We start from the raw sequence: 22,958 nt of genomic DNA, 5'->3' as shown, positions 1-22,958 counted from the left end.
TCAGACTCATGAAAAGTGGGACTGAACTGCCTAACAGCCTAAGAAAAGTGATATGATATGTGCTTTCTCTTATTAGATATAAGAAAACAAAGAAATTTTAATATAGCTATTATGTTATTTGAGCCTATGTTTTTCTCTATATAGTTTATGTGTTATTATATTAATTACTTTTGTTTCTAGTGAGTGGAGAAGCTAAACATTGAGATTCATAAAATCCTTTATTTTCTTTGTTTGGAAGTTTTATAACACTTCCCACGCCCTGTGTCATTGTTTTACCCTTTGATAATAATAATCTTTTTGTGCTAGTATAGAAACACAAAAGGCAGAGATTTTCCTAGAATCCACAACTATCCACGTGACAGGACTATTTCAGTAGCATAAAGACATGGCCTAGAGAATAACCAGGATTGTGATTGAACTTGAAACTCTGGGACACAAGGACTACTTGAAGGAATCAGGGATATTAAGCCAAAGATGTAAAAACTCTGGAAGAACATGAAAACTCTCTGCCTCTCAGATCTGATACAATGAATAAATGAGATTTTGCATACAAAACAACATAGTGTCTCATATCAGTCAATGACATTTAGCTAGTGTCTTTGTCAGTCTGGGCTGCTATAACAAAATATCATAGGGTGGGTAGCTTCTATAACAAATAGTTATTTCTTACAGTTCCAGAGGCTGGGAAGTCCAAGATAAAGGTGTAGCAGCTTCAGTATCTGGTAACGGTTTCCTTTCTGATTTGTGGATGGCTGCCTTCTTGCTGTGTCCTCACACAGGAGAGAGCGAGCTTGTGTCTCTTCCTCTTTTCATAAGGGCATTAATCTCATCATGAGGGCCTCATACTTATGACCTATTCTAACCTACCTTACCTCCCAGAGGTCACATCTCTAAATATAATACCACTGGGAATAAGGGCGTTAACATAAGAATTTTGGAGAAATGCAAACATTCAGTCCATATCAGCTATTTCTTAGTCACAAGTGCACCCTGCTCTGGTGAGGTTCAACTCCTTACTGGAGCTGTGACTATTGCCAGCAGGGTACACCTTGTGGGAGAGCTGACACCTCCTCCACCACAGTAGTGGAGACCTCGGTAGGCTTCTCTCTCCAGGGATGGCGAAGTAATCATAATCCCTGTCACAAGGGCCACCAGGCCTGAGGAGATCAAGGCCTTCTGGACACAAAACAGGCTGAGTATTGGTGGAGATGAGAGAAGAAAGGCAGGTGTTTGCAATACCATATAGACACTTTTGAAAATACATTAGTTCACAATTTTTGCATTACATTTTCAAAATTAATTCAATTCTTTGTTGATAATCAATCGATTGTTGATCATCATCAATTAAGCAGAATTATTGCTTGCCTCTCAGCACCTCTACTGACTTTCTATATACTTTATATTGGAAGTCAATATTTAGAGGCAGTATTCACACAATATGACATAATGTGGAGTGAAAAAGTCAAATATAGAATTAGATCTGTGCTATAATAATGATAGGAATTTACGCCTATGGACAAAAACTGAAAGAAAACACAAGCTTTAAAAAGTATTATGTTAGCATGGTGTGAATGTGGGCTAACTATTTTTCATCTTTATTTTGTTCCTTCAATATTATGAAATATGCATTAATGTATGTAATTAATCTCTCATGTATCTTTTGATTTGTTTTGAAATTTTTGATTGAAATACTTGAGGTTTTCTACTTACTCTTACCTTTGGGAAAAATACAATCAATTTTTAATAATTCTATTTCAAAGGGGCCAGGAGAAAGTATACAAAATGAAAGGCATATTTTACAGTTATTCTGAGGAAAATTAAGTAATAATTTACATATGCATAGCAACAAATATATATAATCTACATTTTAATAGAACTAAGACTGAAAGTCTTTTCCAAGCATATCATTCTTAACATATCTTCTCAGATGGAAAACACAGGTATTAACGCTCTTTAGACATCGGATCAAATCTTGATCTTGAGCTATTATTGTTATATGACATGGTACATGTTGCTTCTTTTAACCTCATATTCCTTTTTTGTAAAATTTGAGTGATAACGCCTTCCTCATTGGGTGCTTCAAGGTTAAGAATTGAGAAAAATGTTTCAATCCACCACAGGGATGAGGGCATAAGTTTTGGTTTGGATATATTTATTTTAAGTTGCCTTTAAGATGCCTGTGTACAAAGGTGAAGATAGGAATGGGATAGTTGAAAGGAAAGGACTGAGTAAACCACATAATCCTAATAAGTCATTAGATTCAGTTTACGTCACTAAAAAGATTATATCCCCCTCAACAACAGTGTATAATTCATTAGAAAAACAATACTGAGCGCTAATATATGAGCAATATTATTCCCATATTATGTTTTCATAGTATTCCTGAGTGTATGTTTTATTTTAAATATGAAATACTTCCATATATATGTATTCATATGGCTTATATGCTTGCTTTACAGGAGTCCTAAATTTCCCTTTTGAGTAATTTAACACTTGGAATCAGTACAAGTGGGAGTAATTCAAATATTGGCCTGAGAAAAAGGTTCCACGTCCAGGGGTCTTGACTATGTCCATTATGTTTTCTGTTCCATCACAGGCCCTTCAGATGCAGAAAGCTACACATTTCCAACTTTTCTTTTGTCTACCCAATAAGAGGTCCAGAAATGTCTAATCTTGTAAGGGTAGTGACTTAAAATATACTATGGTCTTGGAGAACAAGCAATTAACTAGATTTTAAGGGGCCTTACAGCTCATTGTAACATTTCTTCTTTAAACATACTTTTCTTATTTTTGAATGCTCCCTTAGCTGGGTCTCCAAAGTCAGTCATTTCACCCCTTGTCTGTGCAGATCACCAAGCAGTGTGCTGCTCATTTTGATGCTTTTCGGAGCAGAGATCACGAGCTTCACTGATGACATTTGATTTAAATTTTTCTATTACCCTATAGCCATTCTATTTACTTATTTTGCTCTTATTTATATGATCTGCTTTGCTACATTAGATGTATTTATCTTCACTTTCTTTTTCAGAAAAGTGGTGAACTAAAAAATTTTATATCTATTTTTCAAAAGATGGATATCTTAATGTAATAAAAATTGTTATTTTTAACATAATAGATAAACGTTAGTATGAAGACCCTGTCAGATCAGGATTTTTAAAAAATGAAACAATGTGTGATTAGTAACAAGAGTTTTCTGAGTGAATCTCTTTTGACAGCTTTAATCAAAACCTGAAAGAAAGTGAGGATCAATTTTTTTCCTATTCTTTTCAGTTAACTAAGGATTGAGGTAAACAATGAGAAAGGTAATTCCTCCAAAATATGTCTGGTAAAAGGTTTTTGAAAATACAGATCCTTAATTTTACTTATCAGCAAGTTATCGATCTATCGGTGGACAAAATCCTACCTTATAAAGCTCTTAGCACTAACTGGGAAAGCTTCCTCGTGCCATAGACTTTCTACCGAAAACTTACGCACTTTGAAGTTGAGGAGATGTGGGGCTGGGTGTGCTTAGTCACAAAACAATTGTCTTCCCGTAAGTTTGGCAATTAAATTTATCAGGTATTATCTCTATATGAGAAGGCTATTTTATAAATAGTCACATTGTATTTTTTAGGTTTATCATTTTCAAATGTTGGATTTTCTTGAAATGACATTTTATGAATGTAAATGAGGCTTTCACAAGCGTCTGTAAATTTTTTTTTGTTTCACTTAGCACACTCTATGTAATTACACATTTACTTGCCCTGTTTCATTGTCACCTCTAACACATTATTTGACCCATAGTATCTGATTGATTTATATGAAACTGCTGTTTTTGTAGGTCGAAATGTGGTCAAATGTTTTAAATGAATGACTGGTCATTATGAGTTTTTCATTTTAAGAATATAAGTTTTTCAAAAATGCTCCTTGAAAAATTTTAAAGCAGCTTGCTTTAAGCAGAATTTAAAAGATAGATACATATTAGAAGGTATAGATACAGAGATCGACGTATAACACAATAATATAAATTTTTCAGATTATCTTAAAACTATGCACAGGGCTTTTTACTAAAACTGAGAATGGACATTTAAAATATACTTTAATTCACAAAAATCAAAGATTTCTTAGTGTCAGAAGTGACCTTGGATATCATACCTAGTCTACTTTTTCAGAACAGGATACGTCTTATAATGAAGCACTCACTAACACTATGTAATTCAGAGTCAGAAACCTTTTTATCATGCTGAGCTGAAATACCTTTCTGACAGCTAGTCTTGGTCCACAGGCTATTCTTTGGAGCAACACATACCTATTCTAATCCATCTTCCACATGACAGTACTTTTAAACATCTGAGAACATACATATTGTGTCTGTCTAAATCTACTGCTTTCCAGAGTACACATCCTCAATTTCTTTCATCATTTCCCAGGTGATAAAGATTCGTCATCCCTCCTCTCTTTCCAGCCACCTGCAGCTTGCTATTGCCTCTCTTCCAGATGAGGCCTGACAAGAAAAGAGCACAATGACACTGCAGCATCCTCTATTCTGGATCCAAGCTTCACAACTATTGAATGATAGCAATCTAATGCTCCCTTTCCACTTTACAAAATTTTGTCTTTTGTTTTGTTTTGTTTTGTTTTTTGTTTTGTATATCTCAGTTTTTTTTAATCTGATGACAAATGACCATCATTGAAGTTATTTTCTACACAGACTCAGTAATATTACTAATATCTCAGCTAGAACAACACCTTAAGTTTGTCTGGTTCTAATTAATTGTATCCAAAGATTTTTTTATAGTCCTAAAAATAAACAGTATAATAACACTTGAATTTGGGCACTAATATCCATCTGCTTTCTTTCTTTCTTTCTTTCTTTTTTCAGATAAGCTTTCCCTCTGTTGCCCAAGCTGGAGTGCAGTGGTACTATCACCACAACCTCCATCTCCTGGGATCCTGCCCACCTTAGCTGCTTAGCTGGGATCACAGGCACGTGTCACCACGCCCTGCTTTTTTTTTTTTTTTTTTTTTTTTTTTTTTTGAGATAACGGGGTTTCGCCATGTTGCCCTGGCTGATTTTGAACTCCTGGACTCAAGTGATCCACCAACCTCGGCCTCCCAAAGTGTTGGGATTACGGGCATGAGTCACTACGCCTGTTTGCCTGCTTCTTAAATAATAAAATGACACCATTTCAAATTTTATAAAAAAATAAATAATTTTTAAAATGATTGTCCTACTTTGTTTTATGTTATAGGTAAAAGCCTTGGCGTTTATCATTGTAGCATTGATTCAGGTTTCCCATATATATCCCTCTCCTCACACAGTTGTCTCTGAATCAAGTTATGAGAAATAGTTTGTGGCAATGAGTCAAATTACACACACTAGATTGTAAATTTTAAAATATTTTAAAGTCTGTAAAATCTTATTTACAAATAGCAAGTAAAATGTTTGCTTCTGATATTTAAGACTATTTTTTCCATATCTTTCTGAGACTAACACTATTTTTAAATATGGAAAAGATCAGCATGACAAATAAACACTGATTTATTACTAGATATGTTAGATAGCTTATTATTTTATTAAGCAGGCCAAGATGCTCTTGAATCAAGTTTAAATCATAACTTTTATTATTAGAATTCAAATCTGGATTATTGTAGTGATTCCTCCTTGGATGCTAATTACATCAGTGTTTTCTTTACTATTTTTGTTCTCTCACAGTACTTTTCTTCAGCCGTGGTTTGTCATTTAATTTTTCTTGAATTGCAAATTCAAGAAACTGGACTCAAGGCCTGTTCATGAAGGTTTCTATCACTGGAATTTTGTCTCCTCAATAACTTAACAGAGACTGATTAATGACCTTCAAGTAAAAAACGTTCTTGTAAGGTTAAATATAAGCTTTAAGTTTGTCCTTTTTCTTTTCTTTTCCTCTTTTTGTTGTTTGTAGATAACATACTTCCCCTTCCACAAAGAGTACAAGACATGTGACTTACTGACCATAGCACATTCCACTGAATTCCACAGTGATCCAGTTTGGTAAATATTCTGATTATTCCAATTTTACAGGTGAAGAACCTGAGAAAATGAAGGTTTGCTCCAAATCATGCAGTTTGAATTACTAGAATTGGGATTCAAACTCGTGCTTCCTGATGACAAATTCCATATAATTTCATACTTGCAGACTACCTCTAAGTTTTAATGCTTCAAAAAGGCATACTATGAAATTATTGAAATAATATAAAATGAGATTATATATGTAAACTATTTGTATTCACATGTGGTTAGTCTGAAAACAAATTCCAAATATTTCATTTAGGGAAACTTGTATTTTGTTTGTAATACATATTTACATCTATTTTAAATAAATATTCAATGTTTTATTTATTGTGATATTAGAAGTTAAATTATTTCAGTTTGCTATGATTATTCATTAGAATAAACATACTTTCATAGAGAAGCCTCTCTTCCAGTTACAAGATGGTATTGAATTCTTGTTTCATCTCTTGTTAGGCTTTTATCTAATTTACAAAAGGTATGAGATGCAAACATAATAATAAAATTTGCCAGCAAATGCTTTATAAGATATCAAGTATTTCGGTCACCCAAAGTATGACCTTTAATGAATTACTGTTTAACCAGGCAGTTCAAAATGGGGGAGATTAGAGAAGCAGCAGAATCAAGCAGAAAAGTTTACCCAAAATATTGACAGTTAGCAGCCTGAAAATATAATTTCTAAGAAAATCAATGGAATTATATTTTGTGGTCATGAATATGTTTAATGTAGATTTATGTAATTGTAATACCATAGCTTTTGCAATTAATTACTTTCATTAAATTATTTTATAGAATTATTTTTATGATTGTTTCTATTAGTAATTGTTGCTTTAGAGAAAAATCTATCTGTACTTGCTTTCTTTGCTTTTTCTCCTACCGTTTGATCTCAAAGGCACTCAGACCAGGCTTTCAGTTCAACCATAACTTCTACGCCATTGCAAAAGCTCTTAGCAAGTAACAGTAACACCAAAACAAATAAAAAGTCACTCCTAACTTCTTATCTAACCAATAGCAGCTTTTGTCATGGCTTTTCATTTCCTCCTTAAGTCTTTATAATCTACATCACCATTCTTCACTTGTTCTTTCAATTTCTGTAGCTGCTCCTTCTCAGGCTTTTTTTTCCCCCCTAATTATCCACATCTCTGTAATCTATGTTTTGGTCCCTATAATCCTTACTTTTCCTGTCTTCTTTTGGAGTATTGCCAGACACACCAGTGCAGACTTTCAATTTTATATCTCCAGACAACTCAGCTTCCTTATACTCCAAATTTATATGTCCTGCTAACTATTTTACATCTTTGCTAGTATATCAAATACGCACCCCACACCTGTCTGGAAATGATCTCCTTAATCTTCCCATCCCAAACTGCTTTCTCTGACACTTGCCCAATCTCAACAAGAAGAATCTTGTTTCTAGTTGTCTAGGGAACTCCCACCCTCTAGTTCCTAAGGAACAAAATACTGGGATCGTCCTTTATGCTTTCCCTTTTCTTACATGTCATATCTAATCCATCAATAATTGCTTAAAATGTAAATTAAATCACGACATTGCTCAATTCAAAACTCTCCACCAGCTTGCTATATATACCCTTACGGAGGGTGAAAACCAAAGTCCACACAATATCTCACACTGATGTATTTTTTTTTTCTAAAAAATGATTTTGGTTTTATCCTACCAGCTCTCTTATCTCACTTTTTTCACTCTCCATCTCACTCACTCTTCTCTAGTCCAATCAAATACATTCTTGCTTCAGGGCATTTTTTTTTTTTTTCTTTTTTGAGTCGGAGTCTCACTCTGTAGCGCAGGCTGGAGTGCGGTGGCGCAATCTCAGCTCACTGCAAGCTCCGCCTCCTGGGTTCACGCCATTCTCCTACCTCAGCCTCTCTAGTAGATGGGACTACAGGCGCCTGCCACCACACCCGGCTAATTTTTTTGTATTTTTTTAGTAGAGACGGGGTTTCACTGTGTTAGCCAGGATGGTCTCGATCTCCTGACTTCGTGATCCACCCGTCTCGGCCTCCCAAAGTGCTGGGATTACAGGTGTGAGCCACTGAGCCTGGCCACTTCAGGACATTTTCACCTGATGTCCCTTCTGTCACCAAAAAATCCACATGACTGGCACCCTTACATTCTTTATGCCTCAGAGCAAACATTGGCTTAGCAAAAAGGTCTTCCAGAATCTCCCAGAAAAACGAAAGCAAAAAACCACCCAACCATAACATTCTCTATCCCTTTAACTGAGATTTATTTCTGCCAAGACATTCATCACTTAAAAATATTTTGCATTTTAATTTATTCATTAATTTAATACCTTTATTTTCATACTAGAAAGTGAATTTCAAAAGGATAAAGTTTTTTTATTTTAATGTTTTCATTTTTAATTTTTGTAGGTACATAGTAGGTGTATACATTTATGGAGTACATAAGATGTTGTAATATAGGCATGCAATGTGAAATAGGCACATCATAGAGATGGGGTATCCATCCCCTCAGCATTTATCTATAGGGATAAGGACTAATAAAATGATTCATGGCTATATTTCTAGTTCACTCATAATGGACACTATATATATATATACACACACACACAAACACACACATATATATCACAGATATATATATATATATATATATATATATCTGTGAATGAACAAAATACATAAAATTGATTAAGCACCAACAAAACTCTTAGAAAATTAGAAAAAAGATGTTATAATGATTTTCCTAGATTATTTATTTAACACATTTTATAACTAAAGTTGACACAATTTACATAAATATAAACAAAATAAGCAAATAAAATAAATGAGCATATACAAATAGAGAAAATACCAATAAGAAAAGAAAATGGAAGACATCATAAAACCTAGTACAGTTTCTTGGCTCCCATTTTGGCTTTAATTTGATTTTAAGCCTCACATCAGCCAAAGCAGAATGAAATACTATAAATGACATTATTTTACAGAATCAGGGAGATTAAAATAAATACACACCCTGGTTCTCACTGAATGTTAAAAATAGCAACAAAATAAAATTAAACAGCAACAAAAAAAGTTATCCCCAAAACGAACAACTGTTCTCTGCCGTAAGAAAAAAGAGACATTCTCCACCCCTCATTCTGTTCCAACCCCCTAATGGAACCCTGTCAGACATGGTGGACACCATGCCCTACTCATTCTTGTGATTTGAGTATTACTGAATCTTATTATGCCCCTCAATAAAAATAAATAGCAAAGACCAAAATGCAATTCAATAAAAGCAGTTTTATGAAAGAAAAAGAATGAGACTCAAGTATAGAGCTGTTTGACCAGGCTGGGTGGAAAGATAAGTAAGTCAAACATTTTTAAATGAGTAGATATTATTGAATGAAATAGCAGATATTTCATTGTGTTGCATATTTAAAGATGCTTTGTGTTCATAACAGTATAAAATTAACACCTACTTATAATGCTAATGTAAATGGAAGGAACCACTTCCAAAAGACATATATAGAAAAATTAATTTTCTATTTTACAGCAATTTAATTTTTACAAATAAGTTTATGAATTTAAACTAAAGCATGTAATATGGCATATAATACTCTGAAATATCCTATAGTTGAATAATTTTTCCAATTTTAATGTGATAGTAGTCATTTCAATAGTAAAGAAAACAACATTTAGTACAGATTTATTCTGCTTTGATTTTTTTAAACTTTTATAGAACATAGAAATAACTACTGACATTATACTTTCAATATTCCAAAAAAAGACTTCTTATACATTTTTTTCTTTGAATAGCCTCAAGTGGAAAATAATAGATAGTCCCGGAAAAATATGTAACTTACTATTTTGTTGGGAGCAAGCCCCCCAAAATCCAGCCATAAACTGGCCCCAAGACTGGCCATAAATAAAATCTCTGCAGCAATGTAACATGTCCATAATCGCCATAACACCCAAGCTGGAAGGTTGTGGGTTTACGGGAATGAGGGCAAGGAACACCTGGTCCGTCCAGGGCAGAAAACCACCTAAAGTCATTCTTAAGCCGCAAACAAACGTATGAGCAATCTGTGTCTTAAGGGCGTGTTCCTGCTGCAATTAATTCGGCCTATCCCTTCGTTTCCCTTAAGGGATACTTTTAGTTAATTTAGTATCTATAGAAACAATGCTAATGACTGGTTTGCTGTTAATAAATACGTGGGTAAATGTCTGTTCCGGGCTCTCAGCTCTGAAGGCTGTGAGATCCCTGATTTCCACTTCACACCTCTATCTTTCTGTGTGTGTGTCTTTAATTCCTCTAGCGCTGCTGGGTTAGGGTCTCCCCGACCGAGCTGGTCTCTGCACTATTTAACTGTAATATTTATAAATTAACTTAAATTCCACAGCTACAACATGTTTTTCAAAAGTCTCTTCTAAGATTATGCTTATCTTCATTTCACATACACCTTAATATTAGGAAAAAATTGAACGGACTGTCCCTTCTCTGACAAGATATAGAGAAAAATTATTAAGAAATACACTGATTCCCCTTCTAGCTTCAAAAGGCATGAAGAAATACTCTGTATGTGTCCTTATGTGACTTCAAAATTCTTGTTAAATTTCTTTAGAACATGGTCATTTGTAAAAAAAAATCTGTACACCAAGCATGTTTCCCTTTTACTATTGTGAATTGTCATGCTGTCATAGTGATCTTCTTTCTATATCTACTGTTTAGTAAACATTTTAGCTCTTATTCTTTTTTTTTCTTTTTTTTTGAGACAGAGTCTCACTCTGTCACCCAGGCTGGAGTGCAATGGCGTGGTCTAGGCTCACTGCAACCTCTGCCTCCTGGGTTCAAGCGATTCTCCTGCCTCAGCTGGGATTACAGGCACCCAGCACCATGCCCAGCTAATTGTCGTACTTTTAGTAGAGACGGAGTCTCACCATGATGACCAGGCTGGTCTGAAACTCCTGACCTCAGGTAATCTGACCACCTCAGCCTCCCAAAATGCTAGGATTATAGGCATGAGCCACTGCACCAGGCCTATTTCTTATTCTTGTCTAGTTTATAAGACATTAAGAAAATTGTGGAATAAATAGAAAAAAAGTCACTTTTATTTCACAATAATATTTCTATTTTACAGTAATACTATTACTGTGAATTACACAGAATTACTATTTCACAGTAATAGTATTAGAAATATAAGACAAATAGTAAAATAAATGTTATTTAAGGAATTCCACAACAGATTATTTCCTGCGTGGCATACCCGTTTGAGGCCATGCCATTCAAGCAACTCAGAGTGCACAAATTATACCCTTAGGTTGTTTATCCAAGCTATAAGCTCATCACACAAAAAAGTGAAACATTCTCTTAACCAATTTGACAATTTCATACCTAATAGCTAATTTGATTGATATTTTTGACTGAACTTTCCTAGTGTTAGAGGGACTAGTTAAAATAATGTAGTTGACATTTATTGAATTTACTACTGTGTACAAACATACCCCTCCGATAAATTAAAGGCTAAATCAGCAATCTAAAAACAAAAAGTTTTTTTTTTTATCCAAGAATAAGGTTAGGCTGAAGAAGGCTCAAACAGAATCTTGTAGGATTCTCTGTGTTTCCAGGGAATCTGACTATATTTTAATTACACTTCAGTAGCAGATGCTGTTAATGCCCCAGTCCACAATGGTGAATCAGTCCACCTGCAGGCATAGAGGACTGTTCCTGTACTCATTGTCTCATCTCGAGGGTCCGAGTCTCATCCTGCTTCTCTGCCTCAAGATTTTCTCTAGCACCACGGAGGCTTGTTCAACCAAGTACAGGGCAGCTTGAAAGGAATCTGAGTGTTAACAGCCCTAAAGTCAACCCTCACCCATGAGCCTAATTAGGGACATATTTACCCCAGCTTTCCATCTATCATTGTGAGAATTCTGAGGTATGTTTTGTATGAAACCTCAGAGGGAAGATATACAAGAAGCTGGAGCAAGATGAAGCTCCATATACTTGCATGTGTGGACCTGCTCATTATTATGTCCTTTCTCGACTTTTCTCCATTCTCGGTCTTGTTTTCCCTACCCTCTCACTTCTGCTTGCTTCCTCAGGTCACCTCCTGTTAAACTATTTTCATTGTATGCCTAAAGGAAATCCAGACTAAAGCAACTTCCAAAAACAGTCTGGCAATTTTATTATAAAAAATGTCTAGAATTTTTAGCATGGGCACCATATAGGTAACATGACTCCAGAGAACTTATGTTTTCATAAGCAGGATTAAAAGATTGAAGACTTCTGTATGGCAGAAGAGAGATGTGGCTAAAAAACAGAGACTTTAGAACAAGATTGCAGAGGTTTGAAACTCCCTCAACTAGTTACTTCTTGATCTCACTGCTTTAAATTCCTAGAGATATTAATAAGCTTGAACTAGTAAGTTGCTGTGAGAATCAATCATAGAACAGCTTCTGACACTTCACAAACAAATGCTGAATATTTGCTATTGCTGTTATTATAGGTTTTCCAATTTGGCCTAGAAGCAGTGGTTGAAACAGCTCTGGTGCCAGTGAATACGACTTCCAGAGGAAGTATTGCTGAGGAATACACTGAATGTCCATTATTGTTTCAAGCATGTCTATTTGGCTTTGCTGATAGTTAGGTTGAGGGCCAGAAAGTCAAATAACTCCTACTCAAATCAGGCAATACAGAAACAATGTGTATTAGAACTATATTTCATGTTTTATTAAAAAGAAAATAATAGTAACAATTAAGAAAAAAGAATTATTTTAAAAAATATATTTTGTTAACCCAATATATCTAAAATATTATAATTTCTACATGAAATGATAATTATTAATAAAATATTTTACATTTTTTTCATACTGTGTCTTGGAAACTTGTGTTGTACTTTATTTTCACAACACACCTTAATTCAAACTAGCCCCATTACAAGGATTCAATAGCCACATGTGGCTAGTAGCTATCTTTATTGGATAGTACAAACTTAATTAACAATATACTAATATTGCTTAGGAAGTGGCTCAGTCCAATACTGTATGTGTGTATGTGTGTCTGTGTGTGTATGTAAAGTTTTATTTTGTTTTAAAATGACACATCATAATTATACGTATTTATGGGTAACTATTATTTCAATACACCTGTGTATTGTATAATGATCAAATTAAGATAAGTATCACATCCATCACCACATCCTCCCACCTGTTGGCTACTTTATGAACTATTTCAAAGTTTCTTTGCAAGTAGAATTATTTAATATGCTTACAGTTTCCTTAGCTGCTACTATGGGGCTGTCAATTCTCAATTCATTGAATAGTCCTGTGTGTATTTCTAGAGGCCCATCTATCTTCTCACATTCTATTTTTACCCTGTCATGAATTGTGAAGCCAGACAATAAAATTTGTTTGAATTGCTTTCAAAGATGCCTGTGTATTTGTGAGTGAGAGTCTGAGATGTTTTAAGAGCAAAGGACAGGATTTTTATCACTCAAGGCGTGTATGTGCTGGCCTTTTTAGTTTTGGTTTTTGTTTAATTTTCAGCTCTTGATTTCATTCTTGATAATTTATATTTTTAATAAAAGGATACAATGCACTGTGTGTGTGTGTGTGTGTGTGTGTGAGAGAGAGAGAGAGAAAGTTGATGAGTTGATAATCACTATATTTTTACCCATAGCTTTGAGAGTATAGCATTTTTTATCTTCTACCCAAGCAGGTCACCATGAGGACAATAATATGACAATCCGTTATCATTAACTCTGTTGGAGAGTTTTGAAGACACTAGAGAGAGTTAAATGACCTGGAAAACTCAGTCTATGGGAAAGTCTATTGTATTCATCTCTGTTATTTCCACTGCCATGCATCATTGAAATCTTAGAATATGATTTCCTATAGTGACATATAGACACAACAGAAAATTTTCACCTTCCTTTTAACCCCAAATAAAATCTCAGAGATTTGAAATATATTTTCTATTCCACATGCTAGCTTAGTATCAAATACATTATTAATACATTATTAAAAGTTATTTTCAGAAAGTAATTATAAAATGTTTTATTATTTTAAGTAATCAATCTATTTGGGAAGCATAGCGATAGTAGGAAATATTCAATAAAATATGGATATTGTTTGTAGATTAAGTCTATGAAGTGGTGGTCATGCTAAGTCTTGCAGATTTTCCCCATTCTATAAAGCAAAAAGAATGCATGAGAATTTATAAGTATAAGCAACTACAATTTTTAAGCTAATTTCCCTGAAACCTATCTGTTTTATTGTATGTGTAAGTGTAGCCCCAAAAGTCACCTAAATCACAGGTGATCCAAAAATGTGTTTCTTTTTTTCCCATTTTCAACATATCAGAAGAAAATTAGGTAAGAAAAAATTGTTTGAATAGTAAACATACCAGCTTGCCAAATGTAGCATTAAAATAAAAGCATAAAACTTTTTACAAATGACATTTGCAATCATGGTAATAGAATAGATTTGACTAAACACTGATCTTGTGCCACAATGTGCAATTTAAAAGCTACCCGGGAAGTTTTTTGGACAATTTATTATGCTTTTTCACACATGAAATTATCACTAAAAAGCATATATAGGTAGCGGCTTCTAAATTACGATGCATGAAAGTATGGATATTTTAACTTTATTTACAAAGGAAAAAGAAATACGGTTGCGCTAAGTGAATTATATCATTCATGAAATAACATTCCAATATTTGAACCTCTGGCTATCGCCTCTTAAAATTTAGTAAGGTAAATACTGACACTTGGAAACCATTTACAGTGTGATCTTGGATACTAATAGACTAATTAGTTAATTTACCATACATTAGCTGCAGGGGTTTTCTGCTTCCTAATTTTGACATCTTGTCACTGATGATAATAGATCATCACTTGAAGATGACCTAACATTTGTAGAGGCGTGGTTGCCAATTCTCCTTATTTACATTTTAACTCTCTCTTTCCCTTAATTGTTGTACACCATAATAGAGTAAGAGAAAAACTTCAATCTGGAGAAATAATTTGTAAATAAAACAGGCGTATGTATATGATAAAAAAAACTGTCTTTGTAACCGTGACTATCAGCCATATCAACTGTTACTTATGTAATTTATTCTTCAAATATTAGTTTAAAATGCACTATGTGGAAGACATTATCGGGGCACAGATTGGTATAAGATACAATACCAAGCTTTAAAATTATTGTATAGAAAATAAAAGCAGAAGAACAAATATTGATACTATCAGTTATTATGCAGCATGTTTCTTTTATTTCATATAAGATGAGACTGAGACATTGTGGAAATAGTAGGATTTGATCTTAATTTTAACATGAAAAGTGGAATAATTTGGAGCATAGGGCATGCCAGATAGGGTTAAAATATAAACAGAGAAATTAGTGAAGGAAAGTAAAATGCATATTTGGGGATAATGAGTTGTCAAAAATTAGTGGAATATAAATTATTTTGTGAATAATAGTTCTATCAGTTAGCTATTGCTATATAACAAATCACCCCAAAACTTTATGTTTTAAAACAACAGTAATTTATTATCATTAACTCATCTTGAGTGGCTGAAGGTCAGCTGATTGTGGCTGGGTTTGGCTGGGATGTTTCATCTGGGATGACTCTATTCCACGTCTCTCTTTTTATTCATTATTCTCTTGATGGTGAAAAAAGAGCAACATGGCTCATGGAAATATGCATTGTGTCTTAAGGCCTGACCTCACAGCTGGTATACTATTCCTTTTGTTAATTCAATTGTTCAAAGCAGGTCACATGGCTAAACCCAAAGTCAAGAATCAAGTAGGTATATTTTATTCCTTTGCTGAGAAGAGCTAGAAAGTCAGACACTGAATGTGCAGAGATAGGAAGAGTTAAAAAATTAAATACAACATTGCAATTTACTAAAATGTTAAACTGCAAACTTGGAAAGTTGATCTACTGCAGATATGTAAAAGTAATGATTGCTAAATATTTTCTTTTATTATTATTTTACAGGTAAAAGAAAGTTATTAAAAGTCTAGGCACCAAGGTGTTTTGTCACAATTGTGTTTTCTTTTTCATTTATTTTCCACTATAGTCACCTCTGTCATTTTGTTAACTGCTTTTTGTGGGTCTAAAATATCTTTCTGCATGTTGAGGTAATTAAATTATTACCAATTTCTTCTTTCTAAAATTTAAAGTTCTGCCTTTTAAGTCCTACATCTATCTATAGTTATTTTAATTTATTTATTGTATGGCATTCTGAGAGATCTTATTTTAATTTTTGATGAGTAATATATTTTACTAGCACAATTTATAGCATAGTCCATTCTTTCTCCACTGGTCTTCGGTATCACATCACTTGTATATCAAGTTTTCATAGAGGCAGAAAATGTTCTCTGAGCTTTCTAGTATCTTCCAAAGGTTACTGCAAGGCTCTACCCTGTCCCCAAAACACACTGTCTTAATTTTGCTAAATTAACTTTTTGAAGTTAAACCAAAATAAAACCAATTGAGGGAAGCTTAACACTCTTGAAAATCGAGTCTTCCTGTCTACAAACACAATATATCTCTCCATTTTTATGCATCTCAGTAGGCTTTTGCATATATATATTTGTGTTTGTGTGTGTATGTGTGTGTGTGTCTGAATGTGTGTGTGTGCACATGTGTGTGTGTATGTTTATTTTTAGGCATCTCCTTTATCAAGTTTAGGTCAGAAAAATAAAAATAAATTTTTAGGTATTTTAATTAAAAAGAAATTTAGATATCAACTTGTTTTAAACTGTTAGAAAAGCTGAAGAAACAAATGACAGGAAAGACCACTGCTAAATCTTAAAATGACTGAGAGTTTTCAAAGAGTGGGTCATTGCAGAACTCTAGATAACTACCAGCAATTAGCACAGCTTCCAGCACTGAGGCATATGATACTAAAAAATGCATCTGAGGCCACTGTGGCTGCTTCTCTTACATTTTCCCTATCTCTTGTACATCTCCCATTGAGTGGCACCTCATCATGAATCCTGCTAACAGGTGTTTTGAGAAACACAGTTATCAGAGTCCCTGGCCTTCTAACATTCTGGAGAGCACAAGAATTAGGAAAGGGTGCTGTGTACTAACCCAAAATCCAGCACAATACTACGCAATCATTATTTCCATTATGTATGAGATCTCTTTTTATTCCATTTTCTAATCATTTATGACAGATAGATAGGAATGTATCATTTTTCTTTGTTAGTCTTATATCCCACAAGAGCCCGAGAATGCAAATATTAATGCCCAAAGGCCAAATCTATATTTTCTTCCCTTCCTTTCCCTCTCTCCTTCCCGCTCTTCCCCCTTACTCTGTCTCTCTCCTTCCCTCCCTCCTTTCTTCCTCCTTCCTTCCCTTCCTTCTCCCTTTCCTTCCTCCCTTCCTCCTTGCCTCCCTCCTCCCTCCCCTCCCTCCCTTCCTTCCTTTCTTTTCTTGTTTCCTTCTTTCTTCCTTTCTTCCCTTCTTTCCTGATGTACTTCTTTTCCTTTTTTTTTTAAGTCTTACGAGACTTTCAGTAAGTTTCAGTCCACTCGGTGGTTAAAAATGTATGCTACTTATTCTATGACAATAATAACCATCTGCTAAACACTTTTCAGATACCAAGCTTTAAATATAAGGGATTGTGTGTGTGTGTGTGTGTGTGTGTGTGTGTGTGTGTGTGTGTCACTGCTTGTATATGTACAGATATAGATAAGATCGATTTTGTGTGAACTTTTTGCACCCTTACAAAAATGAGATAGTATTCACTTTTTTAGTCAAATGAAAGTTGAGGTTTATAAAAATTGAGATACAGCCAAGTATCTTCAGTCAGCAAATATTACAGCACAGAGTCAATCCTAGTTTTAACTTATTTCAAAGCCTATAATCTTTCCATTTGTTAGAATTGCCTCAATACACTCAGCATATGTGACAGTTTCTAAGCAGAAGTCTGTATCTAGTTAAGAATTTGTCTGTCTGGGATTCACTCTGTATACTAAGCTTAGCGCAGAGAGATGAACTGAATTTCAGACCCATCTAATGAAGAGATAGAGCCCTTCTTATGTTGTAGGACAGCCTTGAGGTGTTCAGGTGACTGAGCCTTCAGACTAAGAGTTCCATTTCTTGTTTGTGAGCAGAGGTGGATGGAAATTTTCTTATACTCAAAACTTACTCCAGAAAATAAATATTTCCTCTGTTTCCATGAGTTATTTCCACAACGGAAATATTAAATAAATGTTAACATTTGCTGAGCAAGTATCATATAGGAGATATTTTGCATACATTCATATTAATGAAAGTGTTTGCATGTTTTCAACCTGTGGATGCCTTGTGTCACACTAGCAAAAATTTATGTACTAGAAAGCCTATATGATCTGTTACATTATCACACTAAAATATATTCCTTATTTTTCTTCCTCTTGCTTTGGGCAAATTCAGTTTTCTTACATCTCCTTAGGAACTTCAACTTGGAAAATATTAATGCACCAACATATTTCCTATGGATAGGCTGATAATGAAAATAATCCATCGATATCCAACTTGAACCACCCCGTCCCACCACCATAACTGGCAGATAGAGATAAATGCTGTCCAAGAAATTCATGCAGCCTCAGATTACAATGTTTCACACCAACTTATACATGTATTTACTTAAGCCATTCTATTTAGTTTCACCTTACTAGGTTTTTTTTTCTTTTTCCTGTTTTTTTTCTTTTTTTTTTTTTTTTTTGAGATGGAGTTTTGTTCTTGTTGCCCAGGCTGGAGTGCAATGGTGTGATCTTGGCTCACTGCAACCTCCGCCTCCTGGGTTCAAGCAATTCTCCTGCCTCAGCCTCCTGAGTAGCTGGGATTACACACATGCACCATCATGCTTGGCTAATTTTGTATTTTTAGTAGAGACGGGGTTTCTCCATGTTGGTCAAGCTGGTCTCAAACTCCCGACCTCAGGTGATCCACCCATCTCGGCCTTCCAAAGGGCTGGGATTACAGGTGTGAACTACCATGTCCAACCTTACTAGGCATTTTTATACTTCATATAACAAATTTTCCTATAAAATACTGGAAAACAATATTTTCTAAAACACAAAAAACTATATGTGTAGTTAAAATAAATAACCAATTTTTGCAAGTAGTAAAACACAGATGTCTATAAGAACCACCTCAAAATTAATCAGGATTTTGTTGTTGAATAACAATTTTGTGTGGAACTGTTCCATCTCCCTTCCTGATGATAAGAAATTACGCTTTTCATTCATCTGGACACATGACCCTTGAAAGATTGCTGTGGACACTCTAATTGCTAAGAAATTCTTTCGAGTATTCATTCAAAACTGTCTCCGTCCACCTTCCTTCATTATTTTGTCAATTCTGGCCACACTGTAAACATTTTAGCAAGTAGTAGCACTGTTAATTTACACAATACTTATGTCGCAAACGATATGAGAAATTTTTTCTCTTCAAATTTCTGTGTAATTGTCAAGAGCTTTAAAGATGAACATTAGATTTCCTATTTTTGAAATTCAGAGCACATTCTACTCTATTCTTATCAACTGTAATACTCTCTAAGAGATGCATACATTGATACTTAGAGGTTTCCCTTCATGAATTGATGAGAATCCTGGCAATGCTAAAAATCTATAAACCTAGAGCCATTCAGACTCTTCTCTAATGAAATAAAGCTCTTCCACTTGGAGCTGAGCCAGTGTCTCCTGGATGAGTTGTATAAGTTATTGAGTGAAACATTTCATTCTCAAAGGCTGAACTCAGGACCGCTTTTAATATATATTGCCTCTTATTATGGCAGGAACTGAGTTGGTTGTGTCAAGATGAAACTGTCAGTTTTGCCGCTGAATGTTTTCAGTTGTTACAGTGACAGATTAGGTGCAAGTATATGAATGAAATGGCGTTTTATTTAAAATGACACTGTGAATCCACTCTTGTCAGAATCATCAATTCTAATTCACTTATGTCTTTTTGGAGTGCTCAGTTTGTCTCATTTGCTTCAATTGCTTCCTATTCTACCAATATGCTTTTCAATTAGTTGGAAGGAGCAACAACAAAAATGGCATAATAAGAGTGCACTTTGCTCTGCCAAACCTGATTCCACAGGTTCTCTGTACAGTTAAATACACTCTACATCCTCAACTTGAAACCTGAATTTATTAATAGATTGACAAAGAGCCTCTTCTAAAAAATTAATTAGACTTCTGTTGAATTACATGAATTTAATACAATTTGGTTGGTAATTGATAGAATGCACCAGTTCACAGGTGTCCAAGACATTTACTCTATTCTATTTCCATCTGCTGATGTGTCTAGCATAAATTCAAATTGCTTATCCATCATCCATCTGGAAGTGAGCATTAGATCTGAAACCCTCTTACATACAGCTGCTGTGCTGTGTTCAGTGGTTCGGTTGTCTTTCTTTGAATGTCACAAGCATCATAAACAACTTGTTTCTAACATTACTAAATTCAATTAAGGTGCTTAGATTTAATTTATCTCTAGTAGTCACAGATATCTCAGAAGTAAAAAAAAATATAGAGTTTGATTTGTTAAGGTGCGTCCATGATTATGAGTTAAGAACAAAATGTTTATATATAGGAAATAACAGCTTCCAAGATGTTTACGTTTATAGACAGAATACAGATTATTATTATTATTTTGTGTATGTAACCTATTCTTAAATCATTCTTATTGTAACAAATAGAACTTTGATGGCAAAATTTGGCTTACAATCTGTCTAATGTTAGAATATAGCAATGGATTAATTTATATGGAACTCAATTTTTTCCCATGATTTGAGGTTTCACTGTTAGATACTTCCCCTTCCCTTCTTTATACTTTGTCTTTAAATTTTTTTCTTTTATGTGGTTGCTTTTCTTCACAAGATTAATTTAGAGATACCTGGTACAGTTAGGGCCTGCAATCAAAATGACAGACTGGCATGATTTAATGAAATGAATAAAAGACACATGGAAAGTAACATTTTCTGCAACGAGCTGCTAGAATTTGAGTGTGGCTAGTAGAAAGTAAAATCACATATCGTGGTAAAACTTCAGACTCCTACATCTTCCAAAAGAACTGCTCTCACATCCACATTTAGTAACTTCTCTTCTTTAATGCTAATTTTCAAGCTTGAAGGTACTGAAAGCATAGAGTAGGATGAGGAAACTCCTCTCCTATTTTGAATCAATTAACCTGGATTAACCTAACAAGTTAAAGGATAAACAAGTGACAGCCTTGAAATTGGGTACACTATTGTCAACATTTTATAAATAAGCAGAAAATAAAGATAATCATTCTATATTCATAGTGTATTGACCTTCTTGGTTGATTATCTAAAAAGTACATCAGAAGTATTGTAGTTAAATAGCACACAATGGATTTAATTCAAGATCGTCTACTGGTGCCACTTAGTCGTAAATAATAAATGTCCATTGATGTATTTCAAAGTATTTTAGAGTATTCATTTTAAAGGATTATTATTACACAATGCCCAGTTTCACTCAAAATAAGTGAATCACTCTTTAGTAATTTCTGTTGGTTACGTAAATATGTAAGAATGCGGAGCTGTTGTGCAAACTGCATAAAAGTCGTCTGCCTTCAGAAGATCCCCGTTCCCTGGTGGGGATGACACTACCTCTCTCCACCCATGACTTCCTGCTTATTTAACTTTAAGCATTGTCTTAAAATTCGAGCACATACAAAAAGCACAAAAGCCATCCACTAGCACATTATATGTCGGTTGAGAAAGATATCATGGAACAGGAGGCTATATCTGAGTACTGTTTTTCTTACTGTTTTCAGCCATTTTATACCACATTCAGTTACTTGCCATCCTCATATCAAACTAAAAAATTAGTAAGAACAAATATTTTACTGTGTTTCACTTTTAATAATATTTGCAGAATATTTATAGAGCATTTATGTTACTGACACAATCAAGGTGTTTTCAATTCAAAGACAAATCACTTAATTTGAGAAAATAACATATTAAGCTTTAGCATATTCAGCAGTTGTATTAGGAGCTCCATTAAGGATATGCATGAATCTTATATTTTTTTTCAACATGTCTTTCAATTTTATAGGCAGTTTAATAAAGATGAACCATACCTGCTTTCTGAAAACAGGGTCCAAAGTATGCTCTTGACAAAGGAACTGGTATCTGTAAAGTAATCCTTTTGCAGTAGTCATGCAAAAATGATGCTTAGTAGATCTTGAATGGCATTAAATGGCAATCCTTTAAAGACACCTGTTAAGAAATAATATATACTATTGTGATAAAAATCATCCTTTTTTTCAACTTTGCTTGACCAAAACCCATGCATCTTATTAAATATTTTAGATCAATGTTCTATTTAGTTATACATACAATCACTATGCTTTTTACCCATATAAACACATACAGCTTCTAATTAGGTATATTTATGTAGTTGCTTTTTCAGATGTATTTTTCCTTTATAATTTATATTTAATAATATAACATAATGTCACTCTAAGCTTACATGGGCTACAATAGCTTAGAATATTTAACACACTAACTTATACCACCATTCCAAGCTTTTCTTAATATTTATAAGACAATAATATGAAAATTCTATGCTATTCCTAGCATATGCAATGTTAAATTTATTATTTATTTTATTTAAGAATTTACAGCTGGGTGCAGTGGCTCACACCTGTAATCCAGGCACTTTGGGAGGCCGAGGCAGGCGGATCACGAGGTCAGGAGATCGAGACCATCCTGGCTAACACGGTGAAACCCCGTCTCTACTAAAAATACAAAAAAGTAGCTGGGCGTGGTGGAGGGCGCCTGTAGTCCCAGCTACTTGGGAGGCTGAGGCAGGAGAATGGTGTGAACCCGGGAGGTGGAGCTTGCAGTAACCGTGAGTTGTGTTAGGAGCTCCATTAAGGATAGGCATGAATGGGGCCACCTCTATTCTCTTTATTTCTAATGAAGTTCATTG

At 34.2% G+C, this 22,958-nt stretch overlaps 1 protein-coding gene across 11 annotated transcripts in view, besides 1 other annotated feature; it reads right to left on the bottom strand.

Annotated features, from left to right (window-relative positions):
- CNTN5 (contactin 5) overlaps positions 1 to 22,958 on the bottom strand; it is a 1,337,937-nt gene that overhangs the window by 1,011,297 nt on the left and 303,682 nt on the right. For 8 of the 11 annotated variants that reach the window (XM_017017926.2, NM_014361.4, XM_011542871.2 and 5 more), the window contains one exon: positions 22,105 to 22,243. The exons of the other annotated variants lie outside the window; for them this stretch is intronic. The gene's annotated coding sequence lies outside the window, so the exon portion shown is untranslated. The remainder of the gene's footprint in view (positions 1 to 22,104; positions 22,244 to 22,958) is intronic. 11 annotated transcript variants of the gene reach the window in all.
- Positions 21,531 to 22,730: an enhancer, noted in NCBI's record as "MED14-independent group 3 enhancer chr11:99195590-99196789 (GRCh37/hg19 assembly coordinates)". NCBI's record gives its function as "activates an origin of replication core promoter dependent on BRD2, BRD4, P300/CBP and CDK7 cofactors, and independent of MED14, by STARR-seq in HCT116 cells {active_cell/tissue: HCT116}" and the evidence as "EXISTENCE:reporter gene assay evidence [ECO:0000049][PMID:35650434]".

Source organism: Homo sapiens, chromosome 11, assembly GCF_000001405.40.
Source record: "Homo sapiens chromosome 11, GRCh38.p14 Primary Assembly".
Classification (NCBI taxonomy): Eukaryota; Metazoa; Chordata; class Mammalia; order Primates; family Hominidae; genus Homo; species Homo sapiens.
Note: the sequence above shows the minus strand (reverse complement) of the source record. Positions and strands in the feature narration are given on the sequence as shown.